The 19,062-nt window shown below is 53.5% G+C and overlaps 1 protein-coding gene across 6 annotated transcripts in view, besides 4 other annotated features; it reads right to left on the reverse strand.

The window, feature by feature from the left end:
- IQSEC1 (IQ motif and Sec7 domain ArfGEF 1) overlaps positions 1-19,062 on the reverse strand; it is a 386,215-nt gene that overhangs the window by 264,292 nt on the left and 102,861 nt on the right. For all 6 annotated transcript variants that reach the window (XM_047449348.1, XM_047449340.1, XM_047449347.1 and 3 more), the window contains exon 2: positions 2,770-2,799. In XM_047449348.1, the coding sequence (XP_047305304.1) occupies positions 2,770-2,799 (30 nt within the window). The remainder of the gene's footprint in view (positions 1-2,769; positions 2,800-19,062) is intronic.
- Positions 7-532: an enhancer, noted in NCBI's record as "H3K27ac-H3K4me1 hESC enhancer chr3:13202841-13203366 (GRCh37/hg19 assembly coordinates)". NCBI's record gives its function as "activates a minimal SCP1, AML or CMV promoter by ChIP-STARR-seq in primed H9 embryonic stem cells {active_cell/tissue: H9 hESC(primed)}" and the evidence as "EXISTENCE:reporter gene assay evidence [ECO:0000049][PMID:30033119]".
- Positions 10,112-10,636: an enhancer, noted in NCBI's record as "H3K4me1 hESC enhancer chr3:13212946-13213470 (GRCh37/hg19 assembly coordinates)". NCBI's record gives its function as "activates a minimal SCP1, AML or CMV promoter by ChIP-STARR-seq in naive and primed H9 embryonic stem cells {active_cell/tissue: H9 hESC(naive and primed)}" and the evidence as "EXISTENCE:reporter gene assay evidence [ECO:0000049][PMID:30033119]".
- Positions 10,637-11,160: an enhancer, noted in NCBI's record as "H3K4me1 hESC enhancer chr3:13213471-13213994 (GRCh37/hg19 assembly coordinates)". NCBI's record gives its function as "activates a minimal SCP1, AML or CMV promoter by ChIP-STARR-seq in naive and primed H9 embryonic stem cells {active_cell/tissue: H9 hESC(naive and primed)}" and the evidence as "EXISTENCE:reporter gene assay evidence [ECO:0000049][PMID:30033119]".
- Positions 12,986-13,486: an enhancer, noted in NCBI's record as "H3K4me1 hESC enhancer chr3:13215820-13216320 (GRCh37/hg19 assembly coordinates)". NCBI's record gives its function as "activates a minimal SCP1, AML or CMV promoter by ChIP-STARR-seq in naive H9 embryonic stem cells {active_cell/tissue: H9 hESC(naive)}" and the evidence as "EXISTENCE:reporter gene assay evidence [ECO:0000049][PMID:30033119]".

Genomic DNA, 19,062 nt, shown 5'->3' on the forward strand with positions numbered 1-19,062 from the left:
TTCCAACCTCCCCTCTAGCGGGTCTGGAGAGGGTAGAAGCGCTCAGAGAGAACTGCAGTCAGGATCCCAGGTTTGGGGACGCAGACCCCGCACGGACACTGCTCTGGAAGCCCAGATCTGGTGACTCTCTGTCCAGAGGGTGGGGGCAGGGTAGATCTGAATGATCTGGGACCTCTGGTCCTGAGAAAAGGGAGGCCCAGCTCCTGGGGGAAGGGTGTGACCCATGACATAGGCCTGGCAGCCAAGTCGTCAGCTGCATGGGAAGAAACACAATGCCTGTGCATGATGGGGACAACGGGCCAGGGCAGGTAAAGCCATGACGAGTCACATCTGACCCCAGCATCTTAGCCTCAGCAACACTGTCTACTGCGATGTCCACACGGCAGGGCATTTTGGGGCTGGATTCTTCAGCCCTGGAAGAACTAAACACAGCCTTCCCTGCTGGAACTTCCATCCGCGATCTCCCTTGCCCGGCTTCTCCTGTCTGTGCACCCTGCTGGGAGCTGTGTGGCTCGGAGCTGGGACATATGCTCGGCTCTGTGTGCCAGTCCCCCTGCAACGCAGAGGCCATTCCTCATTCTCCCCAGGCAGCCAGTCATGCTCACTCCTGGGGTCCCTGCACATGCTGTTCCCCCACCGAAATGTCGTTCCCATCCTCCTCCCCCAGGGCTGGGTTCCACAGCGCCTGCCTGGCAAATGCTTTCCTGATGATCCGCTGGAGTGAACACCAGGCCGGGTGGGGCTGGGGCAGACCAGATCCCCACCACGAGGGTGTATTCACTCTACATGTTCACTAGCCCCCGCTCAGGTCACCAGTGAGAGCAGGCTGTTCTCAGGGCGACCCCGTAAGGGACCCGCTGCCCACCATGAACTTTCACAGAATGAGGGTTTCAGGTAAGCAGCTGCCTTCTTGGAAGACAGAGGGAGAAGGGCACCTTGGGGGGATTGGGGGAAGCTTAGATCCCAAAGGAGCCCAGAGAGGCAGGCCAGGGAGGGCCTGAGAGGCTGCGAGGCCATCTCCTTCCTGAGCCTGCAGCCCCTCCGAGTCCATGTGGGAATCCCCTTCCACCTCAGAGCCAGCCCCAGGGATTGGCAACCCACCCTCTCCCTAACCTGTTGTTTTGAATTAATTGTTTGAACAAGTATTACATTGACAGGGTTCAGAACCCTCAGGAATATTCCTAGGTCTGCCCTGAGGAAGCATACAGGCACTGGAGGCCCTGCCCCTTGCCCTCCCTCTGAAGGGACCATTTTAAGAGACAACTGTTTCCTTCCTGCTTCTTTTTGCTGACAAATTAAATAAGAATATACGTACTTACACCTGCCCTTTCTTACCCAAAGTAGTGTGAGATGTGTACTCTCACACCCTGCTTTGCTCACTTAATGGTACATTCCAGAGCTTTCTCCATCGTGCACCAGGGCAGTCTCCCCTCCTCCTCCTCAGGGCCACGCTGTGTTCCAGGGTGGAGCCATGTGGCGGTGCACACCTCAGGCTGCAAGGGGCCTGCTGCCCCCTCCCTCGGATCCCCAGACCCTAGCCTTTGTCCATCCATCCCCCCGGGCATCCCCCCCTTATCCCTTTAGCTCCCACTCTTGCCAGCCCAAGTGCACCATCCCCAGCTAGTCCCCTCACCTGGGCTTCACCCCTGCACACAGTCCTTCTGGGACCCTCTCTCTCTCCAGTTCCCCTTCTGAGCATGCCTCTGCTTCCTGCGAGACCCTGCCTCTCACTCCCTGGACTCTGGTTCCCTGGAGCCCAACTCCCTGCCAGTGTCCCCTGCTCCAAGCACATAGCCGACTGCCCCAAGTATAAGATTCAGCACCCCCTGTGCTGCCACCCAAGAGGCTCCCTGGGATGCAGCCTCCCCCAGATCTGTCTCTTGTTCTGCAGGCACCTGGAGGACCCCACTCCAGCTGGCATCCTCACGGCCAAGCTCAGGACATCTCATCTCCCCAGCCTGTAACATCACAATACAAACCAGCCACCTCAGGCCACCACCCTAAGACCTGGAAGTCCATCTGCTGCCAGAGGGGACTGGGGGTCCGTGGGCTCTTAACTGCCTCCTGGCCTCTCCTTCGCATCCCCAGCCTCACCATGCTGACCCCCATCTCCCATGACCATGGCCTTCTTGGTCCCCCAGCTCATGCCTTGAGAACTGCTGGGCCTCAGGCCCCGTGGCTGGGGCACTGACACCCCAGGTACTGTCTCAGACCAGACCCTCTTCTAGGTTCAGTCAGAGCCTCTGGCAGAAAGCCCACTCCATGTCCACCCCCACCTACCCTCGGTTGGTGGGGCGAGGATGGGCAGGGGCATTACGCCTGCCGTGGAGACACCCCTGCATTGTTAGAGGCTGGTTAGAGCCGGGCCCACCACCAAGCATCTTAGACTTGCCCTGACCCCGCCCAGCCCAGCCCCAGGGGTGTCAGGTATAGAAGTTTCTGGTCCTAGACGGGTCACAGCCTTGGCACACTGGGCCATCACCAGCCCCAGAAAGGAAGGGACAACCACCAACCTAGGTGATCTCTGCAGAGGTCACTCTAAACACAGGGAAGCTGGGAAGGGCTTTTGCTCCAGGATGCAGAGCCAACAGACGTGCTCTGCAGATCATGCCCAGGCCCTTGGGGCACACGCCAGGGCTGAAGGGGGCAGCCAGGGGAGGAGAGGTCTGACCTGGGAGACCCGCAGGGAGAAATCAAAGCACATGGTTTCATCAACGCCGCTCACCGCCAGGATTCAGACACACGGACAGAGGTGGATGAAGCACATACCTGACGCTCCGCGAGCTTTCTCCTTCAGACCTGCAACGAGAAGAGCACACGCTTAGAGCCCAGAACCCTCTGCTCCGGGAGACCTGCACAACGACACTAGATGTGGGGACCCTGAGGCCCCAGCTGCTCCCAGCATCCCCTCCCCAGCCTCAGCAGACATCCGCAGGCCCAATCCTCCGGGGTCTCTTGCTGCTGTTCCTTTGACCTGGAACTGTATTCAGAAAGTCCACTCTTCTTAGAAGTCTTAGGGTTCCTTTCCCACCCTCTTCCTGTTTCCATCACCTTGACTGCAATTGTTTTCCCAGGATTTGAATACACCCCAGGAGTCAAGAGCAAAGCCAGAGGAGGGGTCTATGGTTCCAGAACTCTGACCTGGGCAGCAACTAAATGAATGAATGAGTGAATGAATGAATGAATGAATAAGTGAGAGCGGTGCGACTGGCCTCACTGCATCCCCTACTTGGTATTTCCAGTGTTATTTCCCCAGAACCAGCTCTATTTTCAAGTACTCAGAAATCAATTACAACCATATTACAAAGGAGACAACCTTGAATGTCAAGAAATTGGACAATCAGATTGTATTGCGCACTTGAACTTTCACGAAGACTGTGACTACGCGGTATTGACAGTGATGCCTTCCTGCTCTGTACACCAAAGGAAAGGGACTTTGGGATTAAACTCCATGCAGCTGATGGCTAAAGCCTCGCTTGGGCTTCCTGGGTCTGAAGGAGCAAAGGGCTTTGAGCAAACACATTCAGGAATCTAATCCCTGGATGTCCCAAATTGGATTTTATTGCCAGAGAGCTAGAGAAATAAAAACTTACTTAACCCAGAGTCAGAGATTTGTCTTTTTGTTCATTGCCTTTTCAGTAACGTTCCAGAACGGAAGTCAGAGCACATGCTGCACGACCCTTCAGCATAGAAAGCCCCAGGGGATGCCTTTCCCACTGAACCAAGCTTGCCCACAGATTCAGACCCGGCCTCCCTTGGTGCTGCCCAGCCTGGTCGCGCTCACCAGTAGCAAATGAGACAGAAGGCAGGTAGTCCCCAGCAATGTGTGCTCCAGGTGCCTGAGTGCACACCCCTTGTTCTAGAAGGACCTTGGTCTCCCTCTCCAGCAATTCTAATTCAGCATCAATGCACAGCAACTTGGATCACATGGTCCCCACGGCAGCAGGTGAAGTGGTGATGTGAGATGGGAATGGCGCACAGACACCTGTGGCATCTCCTTGACCCCGGGGGCCATGGGACAAGGTGCAGACCAGCCCCTGGTGGCTGAAGACCCTCCACAGAATTCCCAGGAAGCCTGATGATGGGGAGAGGAGATCCCAGGAGCAGCTTTTGAAAGTTCTTATTTTTTGTTTTTGTTTTCCATTTGATCATAGCCAGGACAGAAAAGAAAGCAAGCGGGGGGGTGGGGGGTGGGGGGGTGGCGTGTGTGTGTGTGTGTGTGTGTGTGTGTGTGTGTGTGTGTGTGTCTGTCTGTCTTCACTTCATCGCCATCTTAGGTTGCTCACCCTGGGGAAGCCGGCTGCCCTGTTCTGTGAGCAGCCCCTCTGGAAGAGGCCCAGGTGGTGAGGACCTGAGCCCCCTGCCACCAACCATGAGTGTGAGCCCAGAAGCAGATTTTCCACCCCTCGCTGCTGCAGCCCCAGGCAACATCATGACTGCAATCACATGAGCGGCCCAGAGGCAGAGCCACCAGCCACACTGTTCCTGCATTTCTGACCTCAGAAAGGGAGAGGTAGGGTGCCCTGGTCCACTGTGCGCTGACCAAGAAACACAGGGTGCAACCGGGCCCCGCTTACGGACATGCCTGAGTAGGCAGCTCCTTTCTCGCTGTCCATGGCAATGACACCACAGGCTTATGTGTGTAAGTTCCCTAATAAATGCTGTGGACTGGTCACCCAGGCGTTCAGGGATCCTTTCTTCGGAATGACAACTGGCTCCAGCTCAGGAAGGTTTGGGGCACTCCTACAGGAAACTCCCCTGCCTCTGCTCTTAGGGTAACTCCAACTATGGATTCAGCAGGACAGAACACAAGACCATCAGCATTTGCTGTCTTCAGCTCCTACGTTTTTGGGGTCACTTGTTACATGGTAATTGATAGCTAACACACAGTTCCTGCTCTGCGCCTCTATCCCAGATCTCTGTCTTGTGGCCTTCACTCAGGACCACGTGAAGCTCTCTATTTATGTCTCTTAGGATCTATCTGCCTCAGTAGGACGAAAATGCCACAAGGGTAAGGGTTTTGTCACATTCACTGCAGGGTCTCCAGTGCTTGTTATGTGGCTGAGGCATAGCAGTGCAGTCACGCCAGGAGCTCCACATTCTGGGACGCCAGGGGACAAGCACTGACCCTGAGCCATCAGAGTCTCCTGGGTCCCAGGCCCAGCTTCATCCCTTACTGGCTTCCAGGTGGCCTCAGTAGTCACTTAATCTCCATGAGCCCCAGTTTCCTCATTTGCGGATTAGGGATGATAGCAACAATTGGCCCCTAAAATGTGGTGAGGAGATAAGTACATTCCCAGCACAGAGGCTGATGAATAAAGCTGCTTCTCTCACCACCTACCCGAGGTGTGGTTTGAGGATGTGCTGACCTGTGGGGGCCTGCAGGGAAGGAACATCTGGAGGAGATGGTGCCTCCCACACACTGGAGCCCAGCTTGGGGCCTGGCACTGAGCAGGCTGTAGGAAGTGTCTGCTGTGGGAAGCCAGGACTGCACTGACCCAGAACCCACACTCCAACAGCAACACACAGTGGAGTCATCTTTTACACCAAGGATGGCACATGCAGAGGATGCCCTGGAGCCCCTGGCATAACATCGCCCGTCCTATGGCCGAAGGAGCAATAATGTGGGGAGAAAAGCGAGAGGGGCTGGGCAGCCCCGGGGTGGAGGATGCCTGTGCGTGTGTGCATGTGCAAACATGTGTGCATGTGTGTACGTGTGTGGTACACTGTATGTGGGTGTGCCTGTATGTGCGTGTGTGTGTGCCTATGATTATGGCGGCACTCAGCATGGGCAAAGAAGCAGATGGTCAGGAGCATCCTGGAGCCTTCTCGTTCCTGCAGATGAAGCTGAGATCTAGGAACAGGATGATCCCCGATGCTTTTGCATGGGCTGTCCCTGAGGCAGACCTGGAGATAAAGATTCAGCTAGGAGTTTATTTGGGAAGTGAGAAGAGAGAAGGGCTAGGGAGGTGAGAAGAGAAAGAGAAGGGGGCTAACAATGGCTGTTATCAAGCTGCCCAGCACCTCACTATATCCACCACTGTGGGAAGCTGAGGCTCAGTTTACCTGGGAGCCCTAGAAACCAGTTCAAGCTGCCTCCAGCAATCTTATACCAGGGCCGAAGCAGCTGGGAGTGGCTGAAGGCTGCTCCTGGGGAGGAGAAGTCTGCACGCATCAGCCTGCCTCACAGGTGGCCGAGGAGCTCCCCCAGGCAAGGAAGGGGAGGTGCTGACAGGTGGACGTCAGCCTGGTGGCACTTGGGGGGGCAAAAGCAAGAGGCTCAGACAGCCAGTGCTCCCCGGACAAGGAGAGTCTCTGGCTGTCCTCACAAGAGCATAGAGGATAACCAAGCCTTTCTCCAGGTGGCCTTCAGACGGCCAAGGCTCAAGTGATAGTGTTTGTCGCTCTGGTTCCTCTTCTGCAGTGGAACCTGCAGACTGCCCCCTTCGCCATGTGTGCAGCCCCTCCTTCCATGCTCACTGGACTTGAACCTCTGGAAAACTGAAATCTACCTTTCCCAGATGCCCTTGCAGCTCTGGTTCTGCAAATGTTCTCAGCTTCTCTGGGCAGAGGCCTGTCCAGACTGAGAAGGTGGGCATGAGCAGCAGGGTGGAGAAATGAGCTCCCGGCTGGAAGGGAACACAGGCTTCTGGTTCTCCCAAAGCAATTGGCTCCAGTTTCCAGGTTTAAGCCTCACAGGCAGTGGGGTTTCCATGGCAACAGTCAGGTGGATTTAGGTGATGGTCCAGGTTGTGTTGTTCCTGGCTATGGGACATCCAAGCTCGGTCCTGGACTCTGAGTCAAAATACATGGAAATAAATCCCCCTTAGCTCAAACTAGAAAGAGCAGATTCTGTTGTCTGCAACTAAGTGCTGTGACTGATCCAAATTCAAGTTCTCAAATCACCACGATTATTTTTCTTATATGGCGTGATGTAGAAAAGCGTAAGAAAAACAAGTAAAAATCATCTCTAATCCTACCACCTGGAGGTAATCGCTATCACATTTTTGCATGTATGCTTATGGGCTTTGTTTCCTGTCCATTTTTTTATACAGTGGAAATGACAGTTTACATCAGTCTATGCCCGTCTTCCTCACTTAACACGGATCATAAGCACATCTCAGGGGCCTCATCCATGAGGCCTTCAGCAGCTCCCCAGTCCAAATCAGGTTCCTCTACCTTCACTCTGCAGCAGTCTGCCCTTGGAACAAAATTCAAACTCCACACACAGCCCACAAAGACTGCAAGGTCTGGCCCTGCTCAGTCCTCCACCTTCTTAGGGTTCCAGTTTCCCCTCGGCTCCCCACTGCAGCCACACCCTTTCATTCTGCCCTCACACAGCCAAGCTCCCCAACACCAGCTCTAGGGCATTGCTGTTCCGTCTTCCTGGAAGATCTGTCCTGTCCCTGGCTTTTGATTTCAGTGGCTCCATCTTCTAATTCAGATTTTACTTTAAATACCACCTCTTAGGACAGGCCTTCCTGGTATCCCTCCTATCTAAATAGCCCTCCCCTGGCCCCCCAGATTCTCTGCCATATTACCCCATTCATCCTCCTGTGAACATGTGACAATCTGAAATTGTCTTATTTGTCTACTTGCTTATTGTCTGTCTTTCCTAATAGAACGTCAGCTCCATGAGAGGAGGTACTGTATCTGTCTTATTTATCACCATATTCCTTATAGAGTTCCTGCAAAATTCTTTTAAAACAACATGTATCTCTCACCATATACAAAAATTAACTCAGGGTGGGTGATATGGTTTGGGTGTGTCCCCACCCAAGTCTCATCTTGAATTCCCACGTGTTGTGGGAGGGACCCAGTGGCAGGCAATTAAATCATGGGGGCAGGTCTTTCCCATGCTGTTCTTGTGATAGTGAATAAGTACCATGAGATCTGATGATTTTATAAGGGGGAGTTTCCCTGCACAAGCTCTGTCTTTGCCTGACGCCATCCACGTAAGATGTGACTTGCTCCTCCTTGCCTTCTGCTATGATTGTGAGGCCTCCCTAGCCATGTGGAACTGTAAGTCCATTAAACCTATTTCTTCCCAGTCTCAGATATGTCTTTATCAGCAGTGTGAAAATGGACTAATACAGTAAATTGGTACCAGTAGAGTGGGGCACTGCTGTAGACACCAAAAATGTGGAAGCGACTTTGGAACCAGGTAACAGACACGGGTTGGAACAGTTTGGAGGGCTCAGAAGAAGACAGGAAAATGTGGGAAAGTTTGGAACTTCCTAGAGACTTATTGAATGGCTTTGCCCAAAATGCTGATAGCAATATGGACAACAAAGTCCAGGCTGAGGTGGTCTCAGATGGAGATGAGAAACTTGTTGGGAATTGGAGCAAAGGTGACTCTTGTAATGTTTTAGCAAAGAGACTGGCAGCATTTTGCCTCTGCTCTAGAGATTTGTGGAACTTTGAACTTGAGAGAGATGATTTAGGGTATCTGGTGGAAGAAATTTCTTAGCAGCAAAGCATTCAAGAGGTGACTTGGGTGCTGTTAAAGGCATTCAGTTTTCTAAGGGAAGCAGAGCATAAAAGTTTGGGAGATTTGCAGCCTGACAATGAGATAGAAAAGAAAAACCCATTTTCTGAGGAGAAATTCAAGCTGGCTGCAGAAATTTACATAAGTAATGAGAAGCCGAATGTTAATCCCCAAGACAATAGGGAAAATGTCTCCAGGGAATGTCAAGAGGTCTTCACAGCAGCCCCTCCCATCACAAGCCCAGAGGCCTAGGAGAAACAAATGGTTTTGTGGGCCAGGCCCAGGGTCCCCAAGCTGTGTGCAGCCTAGGGACTTGGTGCTCTGCCTCCCAGCCATTCCAGCCATGGCTGAAAGGAGCCAATGTAGAGCTCAGGTTGTGGCTTCAGAGGGTGCAAGCCCCAAGCTGTGGCAGCTTCCATGTGGCATTGAGCCTGAGGGTACACAGAAGTCAAGAATTAGGGTTTGGGGGCCTCTGCCTAGATTTCAGAGGATGTATGGAAACGCATGGATGCCCAGGCAGAAGTTTGCTGTAGGGGCAGGGCCCTCATGCAGAACCTCTGCTTAGGCAGTGTGGAAGGGAGTCCCACACAGAGTCCCTACTGGGGCACTGCCAAGTGGAGCTGTGAGAAGAAGGCCACCGTCCTCCAGACCCCAGAATGGTAGATCCACCAACAGCTTGCACCACGTGTCTGGAAAAGCTGCAGACACTCAATGCCAGCCAGTGAAAGCAGCCGGGAGGGAGGCTGTACCCTGCAAAACCACAGGGACGGAGCTTCCAGAGCGCCAGGGTAATGCAGCCAACCAAGAGGGCCGCTCTAGTCCAGTAGGAGGTTTTCACCACAATATTTGGGTCTTTATATCATAAGCTATTAGCTTTGAAGCAAGAATAAAAATAAGAGACACGGCAGCCAGCTATTAGGCAATGCAATGGGTGCCAGAGTCAAACAGTATTTAAAGATGGTCCAGCAGCCTTTTGGAGTCTTTAGAAAGCCTTGTGCTAGGCGCGGTGGCTCACGCCTGTAATCCCAGCACTTTGGGAGGCCGAGGTGGGTGGATCACGAGGTCAAGAGTTCAAGACCAGCCTGGCCAACATGGTGAAACCCCATCTCTACTAAAAATACAAAAAAATTAGCCGGGCATGATGGTGAGTGCCTGTAATCCCAGCTACTTGGGAGGCTGAGGCAGGAGAATAGCTTGAACCCAGGAGGCGGAGGTTGCAGAGACTGGAGACTGCGCCAATGCACTCCAGCCTGGCAACACAGCAAGACTCCATCTCAAAAAAAACAAAAAAAACAAAAAAAGAAAGCCTTGTGCCCTTCATTTCTCCCTGAGGAAATCCGCAGTGTCACTGCTATCCTTTCATTATGCATGTACAGGGCCTCAAATGCACCATCTCACGTGATACAGGGAAACTGAGGCTTAGACAGATGAGGTGGTCCACTCAAGGGCACACAGACTGTCAAAGCAGGTGGACACAGGAGAAAAGGTTTTCTTCCTAAACGCTGTAATTGACTCACCTCCAGAGGCAGATTTCCTGGGAGGCTACAGAGGCTTAAACCATTTGTACCTGCTCTTTCTCAGAATGTGCATGTAATTCTGAGTTCTTTCTCTAAAGGATCCACCTAAAACTAAGTGATTGTAACAGTTAGACCCCACAGACCTGATCAGCCCCAACCACTTCTACACCCCCAGGCCATTTCCCACTCCCTTCTCCCCTCCATTTGAGAACCTCAAACTCAGGGATGTTGTTATAAATTCAAAATAGGTACCCGAAGACCTCAGCTTCCAGAGTGTCTGCGCTAGTGCTCATTTGCAATTTCTTCCCTATTCCTGATGATTTAGACACTTGTTATGCAAACAACATCTATAGAGACCCATTCCCTATAATGCTTAAATGCCTCTTTCAAGGCCTTCTTTACCTTAAAATAAAACCAAATCCTCCTCCCTCTCCCTGGGGCCAGAGCTCAGGGGTCCCAGCCTGGTCTGACTTCAGCAGAGAGCTTCCTGCCCAGGGCTTGGTGTGTGAGAGGCTCCCCGACTGGTTAGAGGTAAGGGGCAAGCGTCCCGGGCCAAAGGGTCAGGGGTGGCAATCCGAGAGGCTTCTGGGAGGCGAGCTGAGGGGCAACCGGCACCTGGACAAGAGCACAAAACACATCCACACTCCCCCAGGAGCCTGGGCTAAGCTCAGTGCAGAGCGGTGAGTCTAAGCAGGCCCCACAGGAGCAGGTGGGAGAGGCCACACATCCACACGAGCCCATAGCCAGAATGTACCCTGCAGAAGCCGTGTCTACGGGCAGGACTTAGCTTTCCTGTCCAAATAGCATTTGAGGGATAAACATTCGTGACACTTTCTTCTTCCCTCCTTCCCCAGCCAAGTCCTCCGGGCACAGCAAGGCTCTAAGGCCTCCATCCTGCCATGGTTGGGGGAGGTTTGCGGCTGGGGAGTAGATGGAACCATGGCCAGGGGTGTGGGAGCGGGGCCTGGCACAGAGGAGGTCTGTTTTTCACAAACAGGTGTTGAATGAAGCAAAGAGGTGAGAATAGCAAAGTCATGGATGACTAGGAGGCACGTCGGCCTTCCTTAAACAGGACAGGCCCAGAAAGACTGAAGCTGGTTCATCCAGACAATAGTGAGCCACAGCAGGATCTTGAGCAGAGGAGAGCTGTGATAAAAATAACGTTCCTGAAAGACTGCTTTTGCCATCTAGGAGTGGTGTGAAAAGTCAAACAGAACGGGAAGGAGAATAACAGGGGTCATGACCAACACTTCCCGAGGGCAGATGGAGTGCCTGGCATGTCCTGACTTCTTGGTATCAATCACTGCATTCCTTCCTCAAAGGGTTCCCTTCGAATTGGACATTGCCATTGTCCCCTGGGTGCAGATGAGGGCAGTGACCTGCCTGAGGTCACAGTGCTGGTGAGGGATGGCAGCAGGACTCCACACCCGGGGGTCTACCCAGGCTGGTACCATCGGCCAGTACGGTGAGCTCTGCCGCCTCCCAGCCACGTGCCTCTGGGGAGGCCCCTTCACATCTGGGCCTCAGTGTTCCCCCCTGTGCCCTGGGAGTGGTAACTGCCCATCTCGCAGGGTGGTTCTCTCTCACTCCAGGCTGTGTTCTATCCCCTGCACTGTGGGCAAAGATCACCCTGTGAGAAACCCTCTCATGCCTCATCATTTCAGGAGAAAGGAAAAAAACATCAAAAGATTTCCTTGAAAGGCCACTTTTCACCAAACCAGCTGACGTTTTGAGTTTTCGGGTTTTCTCCCCTGGGAAAAGTCTGGAAGGAATCATTTTGTGTTGATAAAATCTGAGAAACCTCCAAGGACTTTAGGATTCACCTTGCATTTCAGTTCTGGATCAAGCAGTCACCTTGACACAAAACCACATCCTGTCCTGGGATGGCCACATGGCTGGGAATGTTTAATGTGCCAGGCCATGGGAATGTTAGGAGGGATGCTGCTCCCGGCTCTGAGTCTCGTGTCCCCTCCCACTGGCCTCGGACCCTCACCCACCTGTCCCCAGAGACCCAGCTGGACAGAGAACTAAATAGGACCTCAGCACCTGCAGCCCGGGCTCCCCCGGGGGCCTTGCTCCCTGCACCAGCCCTGTCTGGTCAGGCTTTGGGGACCGGCCCAGAGCAGACTTGGCTGGCCTCCCAAGGCCTCCTGCTCCTGGAGGAAGGCATGGACCCTGAAGCAGTGGGCTTCCAAGCCCTGCCTCCAGACTGTAGAGGCCCTTGGACAAACCCTGTGGGCTCTGTGGACAATCCCAGAGGGCTTGTCAACATGAAGGTTCCATTTGTCAGGCCCCTGCATGAGGACCCCAACCCCCTGAAGATCTTCATGTTAAGTGCTGCTGGCAACAAAAGTAGGTAGGTCTGGGCCTTGGACAGGCCATCTCTCTCCAAGCCTCAGTTTCCCCATTTGTCACACATGGGGTGGGTCCAGAGTAGTGGTTCTCTGAAAGTGTGGCCTGGGCACCCACAGCATCAGCATCACCTAGGAACCTGTTAGAAATGCAAATTCTCTGGCTCTACTCAGATCTCCTGAATCAGGAACTCGGAGTGAGCCTGGCCTCTGTGTGAACAGGGAGATTCTGGGGGCTTCTAAGGCAAGCTAGAGTGCAAACTCCTGCTGCAGATGGTGTCTCAGGATTCCTCGCTATGGAGTCTATGGGTCCTAGGAGAGGCGGCCAAGACACAAGGGCTCGAACCATCCTGCTGTACAGAGTCTAACTACACTCACTGAGCCAGAGGCCCGGGTTCCTACCCGCTTCCCCACAGCAGGCTCTGGGTGCTCCTGGGGCAGGTGGCGCCCAGCCTCAGACCCTGGAATCTGAATCTTGTGCACACAGAAGTAAGAAGCAGGTGAGGGGACTGGGGGCTGTGTGGCAACCAGATAATACTGGGAGCGCAGCCACTGCGGTGCAGGTGCCCATGCCTGATGACCCCGGAAAGGCTTTGTCCTCTGGGTCAGCAAGAGGCTGCACTGCCCCGGGAGTCCACATTGGCTGCAGACCAAACTCACGTGGCCAGCTGGAAGCCTTCATCCCACTGGAGACTATACAGCCACCTGCCTCCTGAGCTCACCTTTAGGACACTGAGCAGGCATTTTGCACTCAGCCTGGCCCAGCTGACCCCCATGGCCTCCCCATCTCAGCGGGGGCTCCTCCACCCGTCCCAGCGCTCAGGCAAAACACTGGGCTGTCATGTCGCTCTGTATCTTCCACACCCTGCTGTCAGCCCCCAGAAGGCCTGAGGCACCCCTTCCAGAATCAGCCCTTTCCCAACCCTCTCCTGCCCTGCCTGGGCCAGGCCACCAGCAGCACTCCCTCTAACAGTAGCAGGTGTGTCCTCGTGGGTCCCCAGCTCCATGTCACCCCCATGTCTGCCCTGCACACACAGCCAGATTTTCAGGAGATGGACAAGCTCACAGCCCCCTCAGAGCTGCCCTCGCTGGCACGTCAAGCCAGCATCACCTGGGCTGGAGCCCACTGGTGGTCTTTCTGCTCCCCCCCCCCACCTCCTCCCACCACTGTCTCTCTCGCCCCCACTCCAGCCACCAGTCCTCCCGGTGTTTCTCACACACAAGGCCACTCCTGCCGCAGGGCCCTGGCTCCTGCTGGTCCCTCCTCCTGGCATGCGCTGCCCCAGGCACACAGCATCGTCCCTTCCCTCAGATCTTGGCTCATATGTCACCTTCTCAGCAAGGTCATCCCTGACCACCTGCCTCACACATACCCAGACCCACCAGGGTGGACTACCCTTCCCTCTCTCACCAGATGGATCCCTGGAAGTCTCTGTCTGCACGTGACAGCTACTCCAACCACTGCTGAGCTTCCAGGAGCTTCCCGTGATGGCAAGGTACCAGCTGTGTGCCGAGTACCAGCTGTGTGACTCTAGAGAGGTTACTTCACCTCTCTGGGCCCATGTTTCCTCATTTGTAAAATGCACCTCCACTCTAGGTGGTTATGGAGATTAAGGGACTATACCTGCCTGGAACAAAGCAAATGCCCAATTAGCTATGATGAGTGACATCATTCCCTGCTATGGGCCCAAGTTTCCTGGGCTGCAGTCAGGAGGCCGGCTGTAGTTCACCTCCCCCTGCTCTGTGTGACTGAGGGCAAGAAAGGGCATCCTACAGTTGAAGAACACAGGATCGCCCGGAAGCACGCTGAGTCCCTCAATGGCTCTAAAGCACATCCCCAAAGCCTGCCACACTCCTCCTTTCAACCAGTGGGACTGGATTCCCTTTGTGAATATGGGCTGGACTTAATGATTTGCTTCTTGTCTCAATCCATCTGGGTTGCTATAACAAAAATGCCATACGCTGGCTGGCTTATAAACAGGATAAATTTATTCCTCGACGTTTGAGAGGCTGGGTAGTCCAAGATGAAGGCTCCCCTAGATTCGGGATCTGGCGAGGGCCACTTGTCCGGTTCACAGATGGCACTTTGGTGCTGTCCTCATATGGTGGAAGAGGCAGCTGGCTCTCCAAACAGGAGGCTGGCTCACCTCTCGGGTCCTTTATAAGGACACAAATCCCAGTCCCAAGGGCTCTGCCCCTGTGACCTAAGTACCTCCCCAAACTTCCTACCACCATCACCTGGGTAATTAGCTTGCAATTTACGAATGCTGGGGGCACACAAGCACCCAGACACTTCTGATGAGCAGAAGGGGGCAGACGTGACAATGGGCGATTTCTGTGGTTGGGTCATGATAGACATTGCCATTCTGTCTTGCTCTCTGTGATTGCTCGCTCTGGGGACACTCAAGCAACCTATGGAGAGCTCCACGTTGCTCTCCTGGAGCAACTCAGGAGGAACTGAGGCCTCCTGCCAAAAGCCATGTGGCTGAGACAGGTCAGAAGCAGATCCCCCGACTCCAGTCAAGTCTTCAGATGACTATAGCCCCCACCCTGAACTTGCCTCAACCTCAGGAGAGACTCAGCCAGAACAACGTCAGAACTGGAGGATAACAAGTGTTCATTAAGGTTTGAAGCCAGACGGTTCGGGGGTCTTTAGTAATATAGCAGAAAACTGCTACTAGAGTCCTCCCCTCTTTGACTCTCCAGACCCCATGAGAGACACCTTCTTCCACCCTTACCCCTAGCCTGACCCTTGGGAGCCTCTGCTCCACCCCATTTTGTGACAGCACAGAAAACCATGGTCTCTCTCTCACCAACCAGTAAAGCAGTCGGGAACACATTCTAAACACAGATCATCAGTTCCCCCTCCTGAAGCAAGCTCAAAACAAGCCCCAGGTCCCAGGGTGCAGCCCTCTCAGCAGGGCACCATGACCCCAGGCTTTGAGAGACCAGCCGGCATCTTGAAGCACCCAGATGCATGTGGACACCACACCAAAGCACAGAGCTGGCAAGGGACGACCGGAAACCCAGGGCACCTGCCTGCCGGGAACAGGCGAGGTCCGTGCATTTAGGCCAGCTTTTAAATGCGTCAGTGAGCTGCCACAAAACTAAGAAAATAGCGAGGAAGAACCAAAAAACCATCAGCTCGGTACAGATAGGGAAATCTGTTGTATCTATACAATGGAATACTGTTCACTCATAAAAAGGAATGAAGTACTGATACATACAAACATCACATCTGGATAAAGAAGCCAGGTACAACAGGTACATACTGCATTGATTCCATTGACATGAAATGTCCCAAACAGGTGAAACTATAGAGACAGGCAGTGGATTAGTGGATGTCAGGGGCTGGGGAGAGGGAACAGGAGTGACTGCTAATATGTGGAGAGTTGGTTTTTGGGCTGATGCGAATGTTCTGGAATTAGACAATGGCGAGGGGTGTACAAGTCTGCGGATACCCTAGCAACCACTGGATTACACACTTTAAAAGGGCCAAGTGACAGTTTGTGAATTACATCTCAACAAAGCTCTTAAAACAACAAAATGGACCAGTGGTCCCTGACAAGGAAGGAGCTCTAATAGGAGGCCCTGCTCAGAGCTGGGACCCCAGGAGCTGGGCCTACAGCAAGAATTCCTGCCCTGCCACCCCCACCCCATCCCCATGCTGGGTAGAGAGAAAAGCAATGGCTTCCCCTGAGAGTGCACAACTGCCCAGAAAAGGGACAGGCCAGGCGCAGCACAGAGCAGGGCAGGAATAATTCCCACAGTGGGCACTCCTGTGAACCTCATCTCCTTTGTGATGATTTACCCCGGGACACCAGCCTGAGCCAGCCAGCAGGGCCACAGCAGGCAGCCACATGGGGCTTCACCCCCCATTCCCCATCCCTGTGGACAGAGGTGTCTGGGTCTCAATCCTGGATCTTTTTGTGTGGCCCCTGGGGGAGGTGAGAGGGGAACTCCACTGCTGTGCTGATGTGGGTCCCCCGCCGGGCCTTCTGCTAACAGAACAGTTGTTGCTGTTCACGGCCACCCACACTGCCTGTCCTGCTGTTGGTCCCTCTGCTGTCCACATGCACAACCTCACAAATGGCCATGCTGCAAGTCCCAGGGTCGATGCAGAGCCAGCCACTGGACCTCTCAGCCTGGGAAGGCAGGGGCCTGCAGGGGCTACACAGCCACTCTTGGAGGATACCAACAGCTGACACTAGAGGGTACAGATGGAACTCCCATAAGAAAAGAAGCCCCCTGCATCCCCTAGGCCTGGGGCTGGGTGGGGAGAAAGCCACAGCAACATCCCTGAACAGCTAGGCTCAGCCACACTGGCAACAGCCATGCTGCCAAAACACCCTGAACACACTGAGATACCTGTTCTCTTGCATTTGTTCTCCATGGGTCACAAGTCGTGAGGAAACACACCAAATACCAGAGAATGATGAGACTCCCAGACTACCCGAGTCCCGGGCAGTCTCTGTCCTGCATTCATTCCTTCTTCCTTTCAACAAATATTTCAGCAACTACTGTGCCCACTGCTGTGCCAAGTGCTGGAGATTCACTGGTGGCCAGATAGACACAAGAGCCTGCTGTGACGGAGCTGATCTTTTGGGGTCAAAGTCAATCAGCAAATGAGCAAATAAAGAGGCAATTTCAGACACTGGGAAGTGCTAGAAGCCAGGTCAGGGGTGTGGTCAAGAGTGAGGATGGGGCTCTCAGCCCAGTGCCTTAGTGCCTTCAGGCTGCTGTTACAAAGCACCATAGACTAGGTGGCTTATGAACCACAGAAAGTTATTTTGCTCCTAGCTGCAGGGGCTGGAAGTCTGAGATCAGGTGCCCTTACAAGGGCCCTCTTCTGGGTTGCACCCTTCTCAGCTTCCCCTTGTCCCCTCACATGGCAGAGAGCAGTAAGCCCCCTGGGGCTCTGTTCTCATCAGAGATCTCAGGTGGCAGGCAACCTATGCACTCAAAATCTAAGGAAGGCCTCTGAAAAGAAAGCAAACATGAGCACTAACCTACTCCAAATACTGGAAAAAGTAACGGCTGAGAATCTGCTAAAATTAATGACATTCCCAAACTACAAATCCAAGAAGGCATAAGACATCAAGCAGATTAAATATGAAACCAATCCAACAGTCCCATAGACTGTTCTTTTTTATAAACATAGAAACTGACCCTCTGGTCTTAAAGCTTGAACCTTACATTTGTTTTATCTGAATTCCTTCCTCAGGAAACACCTTCGGTCATCCCAAAAAAGTATCAAAGAACTGAAATTCACCAGATCACCACATCCAGACAGTGAGATGCAGGACCCCTTATTCATCATGATGGCTTCCTTGCCCCTCCCTAGTTCCTGTTTCTTATATATTGTTACATTTCCTCCCTGCTACATAAACCCCTAGTTTTAGTCAGTTAGGGAGATGGATTTGAAACTGAGCTCCCATCTCCTTGGCTGCAGAGCCTGATTAAAGCCTTCTTCCTTTGCAATACTCAATAGTCTCAGTTGTTGGCTCTCTGTGAGGTGAGCAGCAGGACCTAGACCAAACCCCTGGTGTTTCAGTAACAAATACAAAACAAAAACAGCAGAAGCCCTGGCATACCACATTCAACCTGCTGGAAGACAAAACCAAACAAAACATTCAAGGCAGCCAGAATAAAAAGAGACATTAACTATAGAAAAACAAAAGATGAGAATTACAGCAGATTACTCATAAAAATTATGCAATCCAAAAGACAATGGAATGACCATGGAATGAAAACTGTCAACCCACAAGCCTATACCTCGTGGAAATATCATCACCCATAGACATCACACAGTGATAAAGGGGCCAATTCTCCAAGGAGACACAACAATCCTAAATGTGTGTGCACTTAACAGAGCTTCAAAATGAGAGGTGACAGCGTGCTGGCAGTCCTCACAGCCCTCGCTCGCTCTCGGCGCCTCCTCTGCCTGGGCTCCCACTTTGGTGGCACTTGAGGAGCCCTTCAGCCTGCCACGGCACTGTGGGAGCCCCTTTCTGGGCTGGCCAAGGCCGGAGCCGGCTCCCTCAGCTTGCAGGGAGGTGTGGAGGGAGAGGTGCGGGCGGGAACCGGGGCTATGCACGGTGCTTGCGGGCCAGCGCGAGTTCCGGGTGGGCATGGGCTCGGCGGGCCCTGCACTCAGAACGGCTGGCTGGCCCCGCCAGCCCCGGGCAGTGAGGGGTTTAGCACCTGGGCCAGCAGCTGCTGTGCTCAATTTCTCGCTGGGCCTTAGCTGCCTTCCCGTGGGGCAGGGCTCAGGACCTGCAGCCCACCATGCCTGAGCCTCCCCCACCCCCTCTCCGTGGGCTCCTGTGAGGCCTGAGCCTCCCCGACGAGCACCGCACCCTGCTCCACGGCGCCCAGTCCCATCCACCACCCAAGGGCTGAGGAGTGCAGGTGCATGGTGCGGGACTGGCAGGCAGCTCCACCTGCCGCCCCAGTGCGGATCCACTGGGTGAAGCCTGCTGGGCTCCTGAGTCTGGTGGGGACTTGGAGAACCTTTATGTCTAGCTAAGGGATTGTAAATACACCAATTGGCACTCTGTATCTAGCTCAAGGTTTGTAAACACACCAATCAGCACCCTGTGTCTAGCTCAGGGTTTGTGAATGCACCAATGGACACTCTGTATCTAGCTACTCTGGTGGGGACTTGGAGAACCTTTGTGTCCACACTCTGTATCTAGCTAATCTA

Source organism: Homo sapiens, chromosome 3 (genome assembly GCF_000001405.40).
Source record: "Homo sapiens chromosome 3, GRCh38.p14 Primary Assembly".
Classification (NCBI taxonomy): domain Eukaryota; kingdom Metazoa; phylum Chordata; class Mammalia; order Primates; family Hominidae; genus Homo; species Homo sapiens.